General features: G+C 39.2%; 1 protein-coding gene across 1 annotated transcript in view, besides 1 other annotated feature; it reads left to right on the top strand.

Moving 5' to 3' along the window:
* Positions 1-13,972, top strand: part of HEMK2 (HemK methyltransferase 2, ETF1 glutamine and histone H4 lysine) — a 309,770-nt gene that overhangs the window by 85,688 nt on the left and 210,110 nt on the right. The gene's annotated exons all lie outside the window — the stretch shown is intronic.
* Positions 9,967-10,167: a silencer, noted in NCBI's record as "peak4395 fragment used in MPRA reporter construct". NCBI's record gives its function as "represses an SCP1 promoter by STARR-seq MPRAs in K562 erythroleukemia cells {active_cell/tissue: K562}" and the evidence as "EXISTENCE:reporter gene assay evidence [ECO:0000049][PMID:32103011]".

The following is a 13,972-nucleotide window of genomic DNA, read 5'->3' as shown; positions in this document are numbered from 1 at the left end:
TGATGAAATCCTTCAGAGGGTTTAGAATTGTGATTTTATAGGAGGAAACCAAGTTTAGTGCTTTGGCTTTCACAGTCATTTGAAAACTGTGAGCTCTTTGTCTACAAAGTTTTCTCAGTGAGATGATGAGGAGAGGACAATGTTGAAACAGATGAATGCAGACTCACTCTGGGTGAAGAGGGTTTGAGTCTTGGAACCTGATAGGGTTTGGCTGTGTCCCCACCCAAATCTCATCTTGAATTATAGCTCCCACAATTCCTACATGTTGTGGGAGGGACCCAGTGGGAGGTAATTGAATCATGGGGGTGGGTTTTTCCTTTGCTGTTCTCATGATAGGGAATAAGTCTCATGAGATCTGATGATTTTAAAAAGGGAAGTTTCTCTGCAGAAGCTCTCTTCTCTTGTTTGCCACCATGTGAGACATGCCTTTCACCTTCCTCCATGATTGTGAGGCCTCCCCAGCCACGTGGAACTGTGAGTCCATTAAACCTCTTTCTTTTGTAAATTGCCCAGTCTTGGGTATGTCTTTATCAGCAGCATAAAAATGGACTAATACAGAACCCAAATTGTTGATCATGCCACCAGCCCTGGCAATCCTAGGGAGGTGCTGTGGAATTTGGAAATCTCTGTTGTGTGCACAGTGCAGTTGGAAAACCACCAGTTCAGTGTCAGTTTACATTCTTAGGACAGCACTCAAATTAGGATTCCAGTAGGTTGAAAGAGTATCCTGAAAGATCCTTAGGAAGGCACAGACATCTCAAATTACTGATGAGGGATAGGGATGCATTTTGCTGCAGGAGATATAACTGCCCTAAGGCTGCACACATCTCTAGCTTTAAGAGTAGTGGCAATGAGCAATGCATGGAGATTTGTGTCGTTAACACACTCCTTGGCACAACCCAAGGAGTTGTATTAGCTGTATTAGCTGTTACTACAGCTTCTACTACTAGTGGCACAATTCCTACTATGACACCCACCATGACTACTATTCATCTCTATTAATTGACAGCTCTGGTGCTACCATTTCTTTTCCTGTCCAGGCCCCCAAAGAACACAGGACAGGGATCAAAAGGAAAAAATGAGTGGCCACACATCCCTTATTTAGTTTCCACTCAGGCTCTAGAGTTACAGACTTTATGGGTGATAAATAGAACAATTATAATAAAAAAAAAACAGGCTTACTTATTCAGTTATTAGCATGGTGTCTAGCACAGAATGACTGCTGAACATACAGTATCTCATTTTATTCTCACAGAAACTCTATGGGGTGGGTATGCCTATATGCTCATTTTGCAGATGAGTAAACTGAGCACAGAGAGATCAATTAAATTGCCCCAGGCCACAGGGTTACCATGCGAAAAAAGTATGTCTGCAAAGTTCAGTGCTGTTCTGTTTATCTTTTGATTGTTCTTGAATTTCATCTGGAAGTGGTCAAGAGGCATGGAGGTAGTGATTTTAAACACCCTCCTCAAACCCCAAGCTGAGCTTCACATACTCGGAACCTGTCTATACTCCGTGTGCAGAGAAGCACTGAAAGTAGCGGTTGCTGCTTGATGAACGAAGGAGAGAAGGGAGAGCGGAAAGATAACACAGGGTCACTTGCCTGGATCCTCAGGACTGGCTGTTGGCAGAAACTAAGCCTAAAAGGAGGCAGGGTGCATGGTGTTCCAGTTAGAAGTTAAAGGATTGAAAACTCATGGAGCATGAGGGAAGAATGTTTGGTGGGATCAGTAAGTCCAGCCATGCAGATAGGAATCAACAGAAACTTTGATTATCTGTATCAGCTCTAAATGCTCCTTTAAGCCTCTCAATAGCTCCTTTTGCACCCACATGTCACAGAACCCCTTATTTTTACCTTTTAGCAACAACAGGCAGTACCTTTTTAATCTTCCAACTGTCATCTTCTGTTTTACACAAGCTAGTTTTCCTCATTATTATGATGTTGGGTTTTATTATCTTGTGCCTATTTCAGCCTAATAGCTGTCACCCAAGTTATTTTTTTCCCATCTTTTAATACTGAGAATTGGATTCTTCAGTCTCTAGGTTTCTCATTTTCTTTTTTTTTGAGACAGAGTCTCATACTGTCACCCAGGCTGGAATACAGTGGCACGATGTCCACTCACTGCAACCTCCACCTCCCAGATTCAAGCGATTCTCCCACCTCAGCCTCCTGAGCAGCTGGGACCACAGGCACACAGCTAATTTGTTTTTTTGTTTGTTTTTTGTTTTTTTTTTTTGTTTTTTTTGGTAGAGACAGGGTTTCACCATGTTGCCTTGGATGGGCTCCATCTTCTGGGCTCAAGCAATCCGTCCACCTTAGCCTCCCAAAGTTCTGGGATTACAGGCATGGGCCACTGGTTCCGGCCTTCCTTTTTCTTTTTGATACATATCTTAAAAGCTTTTTCCTCACTGGGTTCACTCATTTCCTGTCCTTCCTTTGTTCCTTCAGAACAGGAGTGCAATGTGCATTCAACAGTGGGGATGACTGTGGGCCCCAGTGAAGAGTTAGAGTCTGCAGATGGTTGTAGATGACTTCTGCCAAGTGTACATAAAACAAGAATATCTTGGCATCCAAGGCAGTTTACCAATTCCTTATCTCTATTGGGAGAAAGACCCATTTTCTGTCCTAGAAACTGTCGGAAGGAACAACCAACAGCCTAGGGAATACTTGGGTGCTACCAACAAAACAGAATAAACTAAAAATATAAATATACAAAATAGTGACCCTGGAAAAAACTTAAATTACAATTTGAAATTTATATTGAAGTGCCTTTAATATTAATTGTTATATCCTAAAGGAACAACCAACAGGCCAAGTGCAGTGGTTCATGTCCGTAATCCCAGCACTTTGGGAGGCTAAGGCGGGAGGATCACTTGAGCCCAGGAGTCTGAGACCAGCCTGGGAAACATAGGGAGACTCCCGTTTCTACAAAATAAATTAATAAAAATTAGCTGAGTATAGTGGCATGTACCTGTGGTCCCAGCTACTTGGGAGGCTGTGGTGGGAGGATCACTTGAGCCCAAGAGGTAGATGCTGCAGTAAACTGTGATTGCACCACTGCACTCCTGCCTTGATGGCAGAGTAAGACTCAGTTTTTTTTTCTTACTCATCCGTCAATAGTTTATTAATTCTGTGCATTTTTTGGAATAGTTCTAATAGCCTCTGACTGAAGCTAAAGTCTGAAATTTCAGAGTCTAGCTAATTGGAACATATATCCCAGATTTAAAATACATTTATTTGGCTGGGTGTCGTGGCTCACGCCTGTAATCCCAGCGCTTTGGGAGGCTGAGGCAGACAGATCACCTGAGGTCAGGAGTTCTAGACCAGCCTGGCCAACATGGTGAAACCCTGTCTCTACTAAAAATACAAAAATTAGCCGGACGTAGTGGCAGGCACCTATAAATCCCAGCTACTCGGGAGGCTGAGGCAGGAGAATCGCAGAGAGTGGGGCGGGTGGCGGAGGTTGCTGTGAGCTGAGACAGCGCCACTGCACTCCATCCTGGGCGACAGAGTGAGACTCGGTCTGAAAACATAAAATAAAATAAAATACATTTATTCTAGCTTTGAAGTATCACTCTTCTGTTTGTCTCTTAAGAGCAGGAAAATCTGTATAGAGTCAAGGCAGTATAAAAAATCTCATTTGTTTTCAGAGAAAACAGGAGGTAGAGGGCACAAGGCCCCCTGGGACACAGTAGCTAGCGGCTAGAGACTCAGTTTTAAAAGGTAAGGAACAACCAACAAACCTTTAAACAGTCAAACTGCTGATCATTTTCTCACTCAGATTTCTAATATTGTCATCAGACTCAGGCCAAGCCTTCAATATCACTTTAGGATAATTAATTATCATATACCTGATAATTACAAAATTGTAAACCAAATTTCCTTTTCGATCAGCCTCTAAGTTTTCAAACCTGTGCTCCAAATTCACACTGCAGATAGTTTGCATTTCCTGAACATTGGGCTCCTCTGAATATATTTTATGAATCATCATGATTGGGATATTTATCTATGATTGACATTTCCACATGGAAATGGCAAATACTTCTGAAATGTTCTGTGTAGTTTTTCCTGAGCCCTTTCCCTCTTTTCTGTACCTTTTATCTGTTCACCCAGTAAACACATGTTGAGTGCTTTATTATGAATGATCACCATGGTAGGTATTGCAGATAAAGAGATGAAGAGACAAGGTTCCTTGTCGTTTGTGACTCCAGCAGAGTCTGTTGGAACTGGAGAGGGGAGACACTTGACCAATGGTCAGTTCATTAGAAAGATTTTTTTTTTGAGGTCCTTATTAGGCAGTGTTTTGGCATCAGCCAGGAAGTAGCAAAGGTTCTGGGAGAGAAGCACCTTAGTTATTGGCTCTGTGATATTGGGGCAAGTTCCTCACCCATTCTTAGTTTTAGATTTCTCATCTATTAAGAAAGAAAATTGATATTACTTTTCATGGATTTATAAATGAGAGCCATCATTATCAGAGTAACTCTCTTGCTTTCCTTCTTTCTCAGTGTATCTATTAATTGTTTTGAAAACAATGAGAACAAAAAATAATGGAATTAATTCAACAAAGACAGCACTTTGATCTCATAGGGATATTGTTCATTCTCTGCTCAGACTTTCATTTGACCCTACAAGGCCCTTTACATTTTTATGTAGTGTTCTATTTGAATATATTTGTTCAGAAAAATGGCAGAACCTAAGCCTTTGACACATCAAAGTGCTACGGCACCAGGTCTGGACTTTAATGGCACCCATCGTCAACTCTTGGGCCCCAGAATTCTATCAGCACATTTACTGGAACCATCCCATGAGCATACCACAGAATCCACACTTTTTGCTTGAGTCTCATGTTACATAGAACCCCCAGTTCCCTAGGAAAGAAACAGCCTTCGCAGAGTCAGATATGAAACAAAGGCATCTGGTGCCCAGTCCCATTGTTCTTCAGTGGTTATTTGTCAACTCTGTAGTCAGTGAACGATTTAAAACAGACATCTTCATGCATTATTCAGTAAAAGCAAGCTTGTCATACAATATGTGGATACCACATTTCCTGAAGGGAATTTTCTGCCTTTGATTATTTGTACATTTCCTTCCTTGAAATTCTCAAATATGCAGTTACAAGATTACCTGCTGATCTGAACAACAGTTTTATGAATGCCTCCATTTAATTGTATTGACATTGTTGTTTTTAGTGTTTGCATACCTTCCAAATACTTCACATGATAAACAACTCATAAACATTCCTGTTGAATTGACTGTGCTGTCCCAACTGGACATGAAATTTGAGTTATTCTCATTACACTCATCCATATTTAGGCAAAACTCTTGTTGCTTCATGTTCTATCTTAGAAAGAAGAATTTTAGTTGATTAGTCTTTCAGTTAAGGTATTTGTAGTGAAAAACTTCTGAAATGAAAAGTTTGCTATCCAAAATACCTTTGAAAATTGTAGGTAGACAGTGAAGTATTTATGCTGTTGATTGAATACCATCCTATAATATTGTAGAGCAATGAATTTATATGTATATTATTAAAAAAAACTTTAGGTACCTAGGTCATTTCCAAATATGCTATTTTTGTTTTCTGAAGGAGTGTACTGAAAAGAAAGGAAGAGGAAACCATACTACTTTCTTAAGTCTGCTGTAACAAATTACCACACAGTGGATGTCTTAAAACAACAGAAAATTATTTTCTCAAAGTTCTTCAGGCTGGAAGTCTGAAATGAAGGTGTCAGTAGGGCCATGTTCTCTCCGAAGGCTCGAGTGGAGATTTCTTGCCTCTTTCAGCTTCTGGTGGTTTCAGATGTCCTCTTGGCTTCTGGCTGCATTAATTCCAATCTCTGCTGTTGTCTTCATATGGCCTTTGACTCCTTCTCCCTGTTTTTTCTCTTCTTCTCTGTGCTTCTTATAAAGCACTTGTGTTAGATTTAGGGCCCACCTGGATAATCCAGGATGATCTGTTTTCAAGATTCTTAACATAACATAATAATGATATGGACCAAGACCCCATTTCCAAATAAGGTCACATTCACAGATTTTGGGGATTGGGATGCTGACATACTTTTTCAGGGACCACCACTCACCTCACAGCATCCTCTAAGGTTTTATCATTAGTCATTTCACTTTGGATGTGTATGAACTATTTCATAATAACCACTTACTTTTATCAGTCACACAACCTCTGAATTCACTAAAACACACTTATTTGACAGAATCGTGAAGTGAAGTTGGTTTTCCTTCATAAGTTCAAATAAATAGCAATAATTTATCCCGGGGATATTTACACACACAGATTGGAAGTGGCAAAGGTCTTTTGACAAATAGGTGCATTTCGTTTTAGGCAAATGAGTTATTGAAATTGACCAGCCACTTCCCAAAAAGTTTTGTCATTAATAAAAGTTGAGAAACCTTCTATTTGCAATTCAGAGGTGGTTACCACTAGATGGGAGTCTTGGCTCATTAGAGAGCCCCAATCTCTTGACTAGTGGCTCAAAGACCATCACTTCAGAAGGCATGTTTGCTTTCCTTTAAGTACAACACAGTTAAAATACTAAAATCCATGTGAATAAATGTGTGCTGTATAGATAGAGAAACAAGACACTGAATTAAAATAAAATGCAAGGAGAACAGAATTCCCAGGCATTATAAGTTACCTTCTCCAGTTTTCTTCCTTTTGGGCTAAGGTGGTAATTATAAATCCAAGTTGCCTTACTTGTACCCACTGTTCTTTGGTGCAGTGGTTATCTGCTTGGTTGCACATTGAATCCTCTGGGGAGCTTTAGAAGATACTGATGCCTAGGTGCCCCTGATTTACCTGGGCATTGGGAGCAAATGCTGAAAAGATCCAGATGGAGATGAAAAACAGTGAGAACCCTAGGAAGGCATAGGAAGCTGTACTCTTGAGAAAGCAGGCATAATGAGGAAGAGAAGACGCAGTATTGATAAGCTCAGCAGTTGCTGAGCAGGTAGAAAGCAAGACGGAGCATTGCCATGTCACTCTAGGGGCAGAGGTTCAATACACAGCTGTTGCTGAGTTAGACCATTTCACAATTTGGGGATTCTTGTGGAAGTCACATTTCTCTTATTGTACCAAGTATTCACCCAGAAAGACATCATCTGAGATAGACCATGGGACTCTGTTTCTTACAACCGCAAGAGCAGGGCACAGAGGACCTTCCATTGAATAGTCTTTGGAGTCCCTGAGCTTTTCCCTCTAAGTCTCATCCCTCTCACTTGTGGGGGCTTAAGAGATTTTGTTACCAGAAAGCGATTCTGATCCAGATCCCAAGAGAGGGGTATCGGATCTTGAGCAAGAAAGAATTTGGGACAAGTCCACACAATAAAGTGAAAGCAAGTTTATTAGGGAAGTAAAGAAATAAAAGATAGGCTACTCCATAGGCAGAACAGGCTATGTTCATACAGAGAACAACCAGAGGGCTGCTGGTTGGCATTTTGATGGTTATTTTTTGATCATATGCTAAACAAGGGGTTGATTATTCGTGAGTTTTCCAGGAAAGGGGCGGGCATTTCCTGGAACTGACCATTCTTCCCCTTTCAGACCATATAGGGTAATTTCCAGATACTACCATGGCATTTGTAAACTGTCCTGACATTGGTAGGAGTGTCTTTTAGCATGCTAATGCATTATAATTAGCATATAATGAGCAGTGGGGTTGATCAAAGATCACTTTCGTTGCCATCTTGGCCAAAGCCACCATCTTTGGTGGGCTTTCTTTTTTTTTCTTCTCTGCATCCTGGTTTATCAGCAAGGTCTTTATGACCTGTATCTTGTGATAACAGTCCTGCCAACCTCCTGTCTTTTCCTGTGACTTAGAATGCCTAACCTGGGAATACAGCCCAGCAGGTCTCATCCTCATTTTCCCCGTCCCCTATTCAAGATGGAGTCACTCTGGTAATTTGGGCACAGTGGATTGGCCAATCCTCCTACTGCTGCTTAAAGTTGCCAATGACTCCCTCATGGTCAACCCAGGCACAAATAAATCCAGTAGCAGAAGACACCAGAGTAGTGGGTCTCAGTTTTGACCTTCCCTGACACAAAATGCTAGTAGAGATTTCTTAAAATTGTTTGTATGTTTCTATTAAACATTAACTTTTATAAGATTATGTCAAATAGAGCATGATAAGAGGAATCTTGTTGGAAGAGGAAATATTGAACACTCAGCTTACCTTAGCCCCACTCTCTCACCCTTTTTTTGAATTATGTTTATTTTTTGTTTCCACTTTATTCACCTCCCAGTTGAAAACACAGTGTAGAAAAAGGTGAAAGATTCTTTATCCAGGAGGAACAATACCCCACCATCTCAGAAACACAGGGTGAATTTTTATCCATTGCTTGTCCCAAATGTAGCTTTCTGTACACTATTCCATGGGACAAGAGAAGAATTAGAGTCATATCTGTTATTCTCAACCTTGATCGCATAATGAAATCACTTTTTAAAATATTGATGCCTGTGTTCTACCCACACAGATTTTGATTTCATGAGTGTGGGGTGTGACCTGGGAATTGGGATTCTAAAAAAGCAACTGAGGTAATATTAACATGCAGCCAAGGTTGGGAACTCTTGGTCTACCTGCTGTCCCTAATCCATCATTTTCTATGTCTAACCACTGGCTCACAAATGGAATACTGTCAATCAAGGGTGTTTCTTTTACTTTATTTGCAAAATATTCTTTTTTTTATTATTATACTTTAAGTTTTAGGGTACATGTGCACAATGTGCAGGTTAGTTACATATGTATAAATGTGCCATGCTGGTGTGCTACACCCATTAACTCGTCATTTAGCATTAGGTATATCTCCTAATGCTATCCCTCCCCCCTCCCCCCACCCCACAACAGTCCCCAGAGTGTGATGTTCCCCTTCCTGTGTCAAAATATTCTTTAGAAAATACAAAAAAGCATTTAGAATACACACATATGCAATATCATTTAAACTATTTCCAAAATGTTCTCAATGAATCCAGAATTCATTTTTCCTTCATTAATATTTTTTCCTAAAGTTAGAGGGAAGCTACAGAAGTATTTATTCATTCAGTGACTATGGATAGATCCCTTACTCTGTGCCCGGAATTGTTCCATCAGATAATCCTGCTATGTTTTTCTCACACCAGCCCTGGGGTATTCTTGTGCTGTGTCTTTCACAGTTAATGCTGAATGGAAACTGTTGTATTTAAAACAGTCAAACAATGTCCAAAACAAAGGATCAGCAAAACACCAGAACTTTGGTACTCTCTGTGGCAGTCTGCAAGACGCTTGATGCTTGACAAATGCAGGTTTCACGGATTTAAATTCTTTCTGAATAATAAAAACCATTAACAACAATTAATCCCCCTCCTTCCCACCTAACCAAATAGCAGTTTGATGTGTAACACAACTGGGAGAGTGGGTTGAAAAAATATTCCTAGTTTATTGCAGGTGTTTATCATCAAAATGGAATCACATTTCTGAGTTTTTGTTTTGAAAACTGACAATTCAAAAAGATTTCAGAGATGTTTTATGATGTAGTTCATTGCTTCAAATTACCAAAATTCATTTCATTTCTGTAAATAAACTATATTATAAAATGATTAGCCATGAAGTGTTTGTGAAGTGGCCAAGTTTGTTTTTAAAAATGGAAACACTACGTTAAAAATGTAGTTAGTTAACTAAGTAAGTTAAAGTTAACTCACAAGGCAGTGGGTTTACAATGCTCTGTTGGTGTTTAAACTTTTTAGCATTAGACCAATGTTTAATAATAAAAAAAATCTTCATATGGGTATTGTTTTCTATGAGTGAGTGAGTGAGTGAGTGATTTTAGTCTGGTCTTAGTCTAAACACTCTGCTTTTAGTTGCTCAGGAGCTATCAGTTACTAGCCCTAAGCAGGGCCTTATCTACTTTGGTTCACATTTATTCAGGGTGGTTTTGCAGACCTGCCCGTTAGAGGCTGAAGCAAGTATATGTCATATGTGGGCTTGCTGTTGCTTGCAAGACTTTCTCCAATTACTCGTATAATCTACATGTCGGCTGTTTTGTGTCAAACTTTAAGTAGGACTTGATATCATTTAATGCCAAGAAAGAATCCACTCTAGAAAGAATTTACCTACTTCTACCCCAAGGCATTAGTTAGCAATGTAGATTTTACTGAAATGCACTTGTAGAAGATTAGAAGGATGATTTTATTTTATCTTTTAAGAAAATAGCATAACATTTCATAACTTTCCCTCATATCCCCTCTCCCATGCCCCTTAGGCCTCTGCCAAGCATCTTGTCTTCTTCCCCTTCCTTGCTAGTGCTAACTTCCTGGCTTTCAGTTGGGCATCCATATCTTTCCACAATTGAGAGCTATACGCCGTTTATTGAGCTATTTCTCAGCACCTCACAGCCAATCTTACATCCTCAAACCTATAGAAAGCAGTAGGGCATTAAAAATAAAAAGCCTTCTATTACCAAGGTTGCCACATATAGAAGATAAAAATACTGCCAATGTTACCTGGGACGTCCTTACACTAAAAACTTACTTGATATTCATCTGAAATTCAAATTTAACTGGATATTTGCCTTTTTTTTTAAACTTAAAACAACAAAAATTTATTTCTCACAATTCTGCAGGTCAGAAACCTGAAATCAAGGAGTCAGCAGAGTTTGTTCCCTCTTAGGGGGTTGCAGGGAGAATCTGTTTCCCGCCTCTCTCCTTGTTTCTGTAGCCCCAGCAATCCTTGGCATTCCCTGGTTTGTAGATGCATCACTCCAATCTATGCCTGCGTCTTCACATGGCTGTCTCCACTGGGTGTCTTTATATGGCCTTCTTCTAAGGACATCACTCATTATATTAGGGCCCTACCTAATCCAGTATGATCTCATCTTAACTGATTACATCTGCAAGGACCCTATTTCCAAATAGGGTTACGTTCTGAGAGTCTGGTGGACATGAATACTGTTCAACCCAGGACAGTGGCATTTTTTCTTTTTTTTTTTTTTTGGAGTACCTAAAGATTTTTATTTTATTTTTCCATAAGTTATTGGGGTACAGGTGGTATTTGGCTACATGAGTAAGTTCTTGGTAGTGATGATTTGTGAGATTTTGGCTCACCCACCACCCGAGCAGTTATACGCTGCACCATATTTGTAGTCTTTTATCCCTTGCCCCTCTCCGATTTTTCCCTCAAATCCTCAAAGTCCGTTTGTATCATTCTTATGCCGTTTTGTACTCATAGCTTAGCTTCCACTTATCAGTGAAAACATACAATGTTTGCTTTTCCATTCCTGAGTTACTTCACTTAGAATAATAGTCTCCAGTCTCATCCAGGTCACTGCAATGCTGTTAATTCATTTCTATTTATGACTGCATAGTATTCCATCATATATGTATACACATATATATGTGTGTGTGTGTGTGTGTGTGTGTATATATGATGGAATATATATGTATACATATATACATATATACGTATATACGTGTATATATACATATATACGTATATATACGTATATACGTATATATGTGTATATATGATGGAGTATATATGTATACATATATGTATATTTACATATATACACATATATACATATATGATGGAATACTATGTTCCATTGGTCTATGTGCCTATTTTTTATACCAGTGCCACGCTATTTTGGTGACTATGGCCTTATAGTCTAGTTTGAAATAGTATACATATATATATACATACCATAGTTTCTTTATCCACTCATTGATTGATGGGCATTTGGGTTGGTTCCCTGATTTTGGAGTTGTAAATTTTGCTGCTATAAACATGCACGTGCAAGTATCTTTTTCCAATAATGACTTATTTTTCTCTGGGTAGATACCCAGTGGTAGGATTCCTGGATCAAATGGTAGTTCTACTTTCAGTTCTTTAAGGAATCTCCACACTGTTTTCTCTAGTGGCTGTACTAGTTTGCATTCCCACCAGCAGTGTAGAAGTGTTCACTGCTCACCGCATCCATGCCAACATCTACTGTTTTTTCATTTTTTGATTATGGACAGTCTTGTAGGAGTGAGGTGGTATCACATTGTGATTTTGATTTGAATTTCCATGATCATTAGTAACGTTGAGCATTTTTAAATGTGTTTGTTGGCCATTTGTATGTCTTTTGAGAATTGTCTATTCATGTCCTTAGCCCACTTTTTGATGGGATTGTTCTTTTTTTTTACTGATTTGTTTGAGTTTGCTGTAGATTCTGGATATTAGTCCTTTGTCAGATGTATAGCTCGTGAAGGTTTCTCCCACTCTGTGGGTTGTCTGTTTACTCTGCTGACTGTTCCTTTTGCCGTGCAAAAGCTCTTTAGTTTAATTAGGTGCTAGCTATTTCTTTTTGTTTTTATTGCATTTGCTTTTGGGTTCTTGGTCATGAAATCCTTGCCTAAGCCAATGTCTAGAAGGGTTTTTCCAATGTTACCTTCTAGAACTTTTATAGTTTCAGGTCTTAGGTTTAAGTCCTTAATCCATGTTGAGTTGATTTTTGTGTAAGGTGAGAGATGAGGATCAAGTTTCATTCTCCTACATGTGGCTAGCCAATTATCCCAGCACCATTTGTTGAAAAGGGTGTCCTTTCCCCACTTTATGATTTTGTTTGCTTTGTTGAAGATCAGTTGGCTGTAAGTATTTCGATTTATTTCTGGGTTCTCTCTTCTGTTCCATTGGTCTATGTGCCTAGGTGATGCCTCCAGAGCTGTTCTTTTTGCTTAGTCTTGCTTTGGCTCTGTGGGCTCTTTTTTGGTTCCATATGAATTTTAGAACTGTTTTTTCTAACTCTGTGAAGAATGATGGTGGTATTTTGATGGAGATTGCATTGAATTTGTAGCTTCTTCTATCAATGGTTGAAAATATTACAAGATTTTCATTCTTTTAAAAAAGTACTGTTATTACTATTATCTATGTAGAAAAGTTTTGAAAATAGATTTTAATAATATCATCAGTCTTTCTTATATTAATGTATCTGGCAACAGAGAACATCTCTGTTTCTAGAGAATTAGAATTCCTTTTTTTTTTTTTTTTGACAGTCTCACTCTTATCACCCAGGCTGGAGTGCAGTGGCACAATCTTGGCTCACTGAAACCTCTGTCTCCTGGGTTTAAGTGATTCTTGTGCTTCAGCCTCCCAAGTAGCTGGAATTACAGGTGTGTGCCAACACACCCAGCTAATTTTTGTATTTTTAGAAGAGACAGGGTTTCACCATGTTGGCCAGGCTGGTCTCTAACTGCTGACTTCAGGTAATCTGCCCGCCTCAGCCTCCCAAAGTGCTGGGATTACAGGCATGAGCCACTGCACCTGGCCCAAGAATTACAATTCCTTAATGGGGTATTAGATTAAGTTTTAATAAAGATAACAGACTTGACCTATGGGTGAATAATGTTTTAGACTTTACGAAACACTTAAAAATTAGATCATTTTGTTTTTGCAACAACCTTGTGAAGCTGAGAGATAAGATGATATTGTACCATTTCACAGGTTGAGAAGATTGAAACATGGCGGTGTGATTTGCCTAAGTTATGAAGCCAGAACCAGAGCTTAGATCTCTTGGTCCTGATCTCATTTCCATTCAGTTAACAGACATTTAACAAGCATCTAGTCACTGGGTTATGCACCAGGAATCAAAGATAATGCAAAGTTCTTGTCCATAATGAATTTGTTGTCTAGAGGTAGATGGGTGCAGCAAGTGTGAAAGACCACAAGGAAAGTGTGAACAAGGAATATAAACAAATATCTTAAAATTCACTTTTAAAGTTTTCTCAGATCAAATAAGACATGAGTATGAGTTGACTGATAAAATTTTGAGTCAGGCGTCCTTTTAGAAGGACTAAAATATGCTAATGGTAAGGAATATGGTGTATACGGGAGATGGTCATAAATTTTGAGTCAGAAATTTAGGCTGGGCTCAGGAGGGTGGTTCTTCTGGTCTCATTTGAATTTGTTTATGTGTAGGGAATGACTGAGTGTCGGCTGGGGCTATGAGGA

This window comes from Homo sapiens, chromosome 21 (assembly GCF_000001405.40).
Source record: "Homo sapiens chromosome 21, GRCh38.p14 Primary Assembly".
NCBI lineage: Eukaryota > Metazoa > Chordata > Mammalia > Primates > Hominidae > Homo > Homo sapiens.
This window is presented reverse-complemented; position numbering and strand designations above follow the sequence as displayed.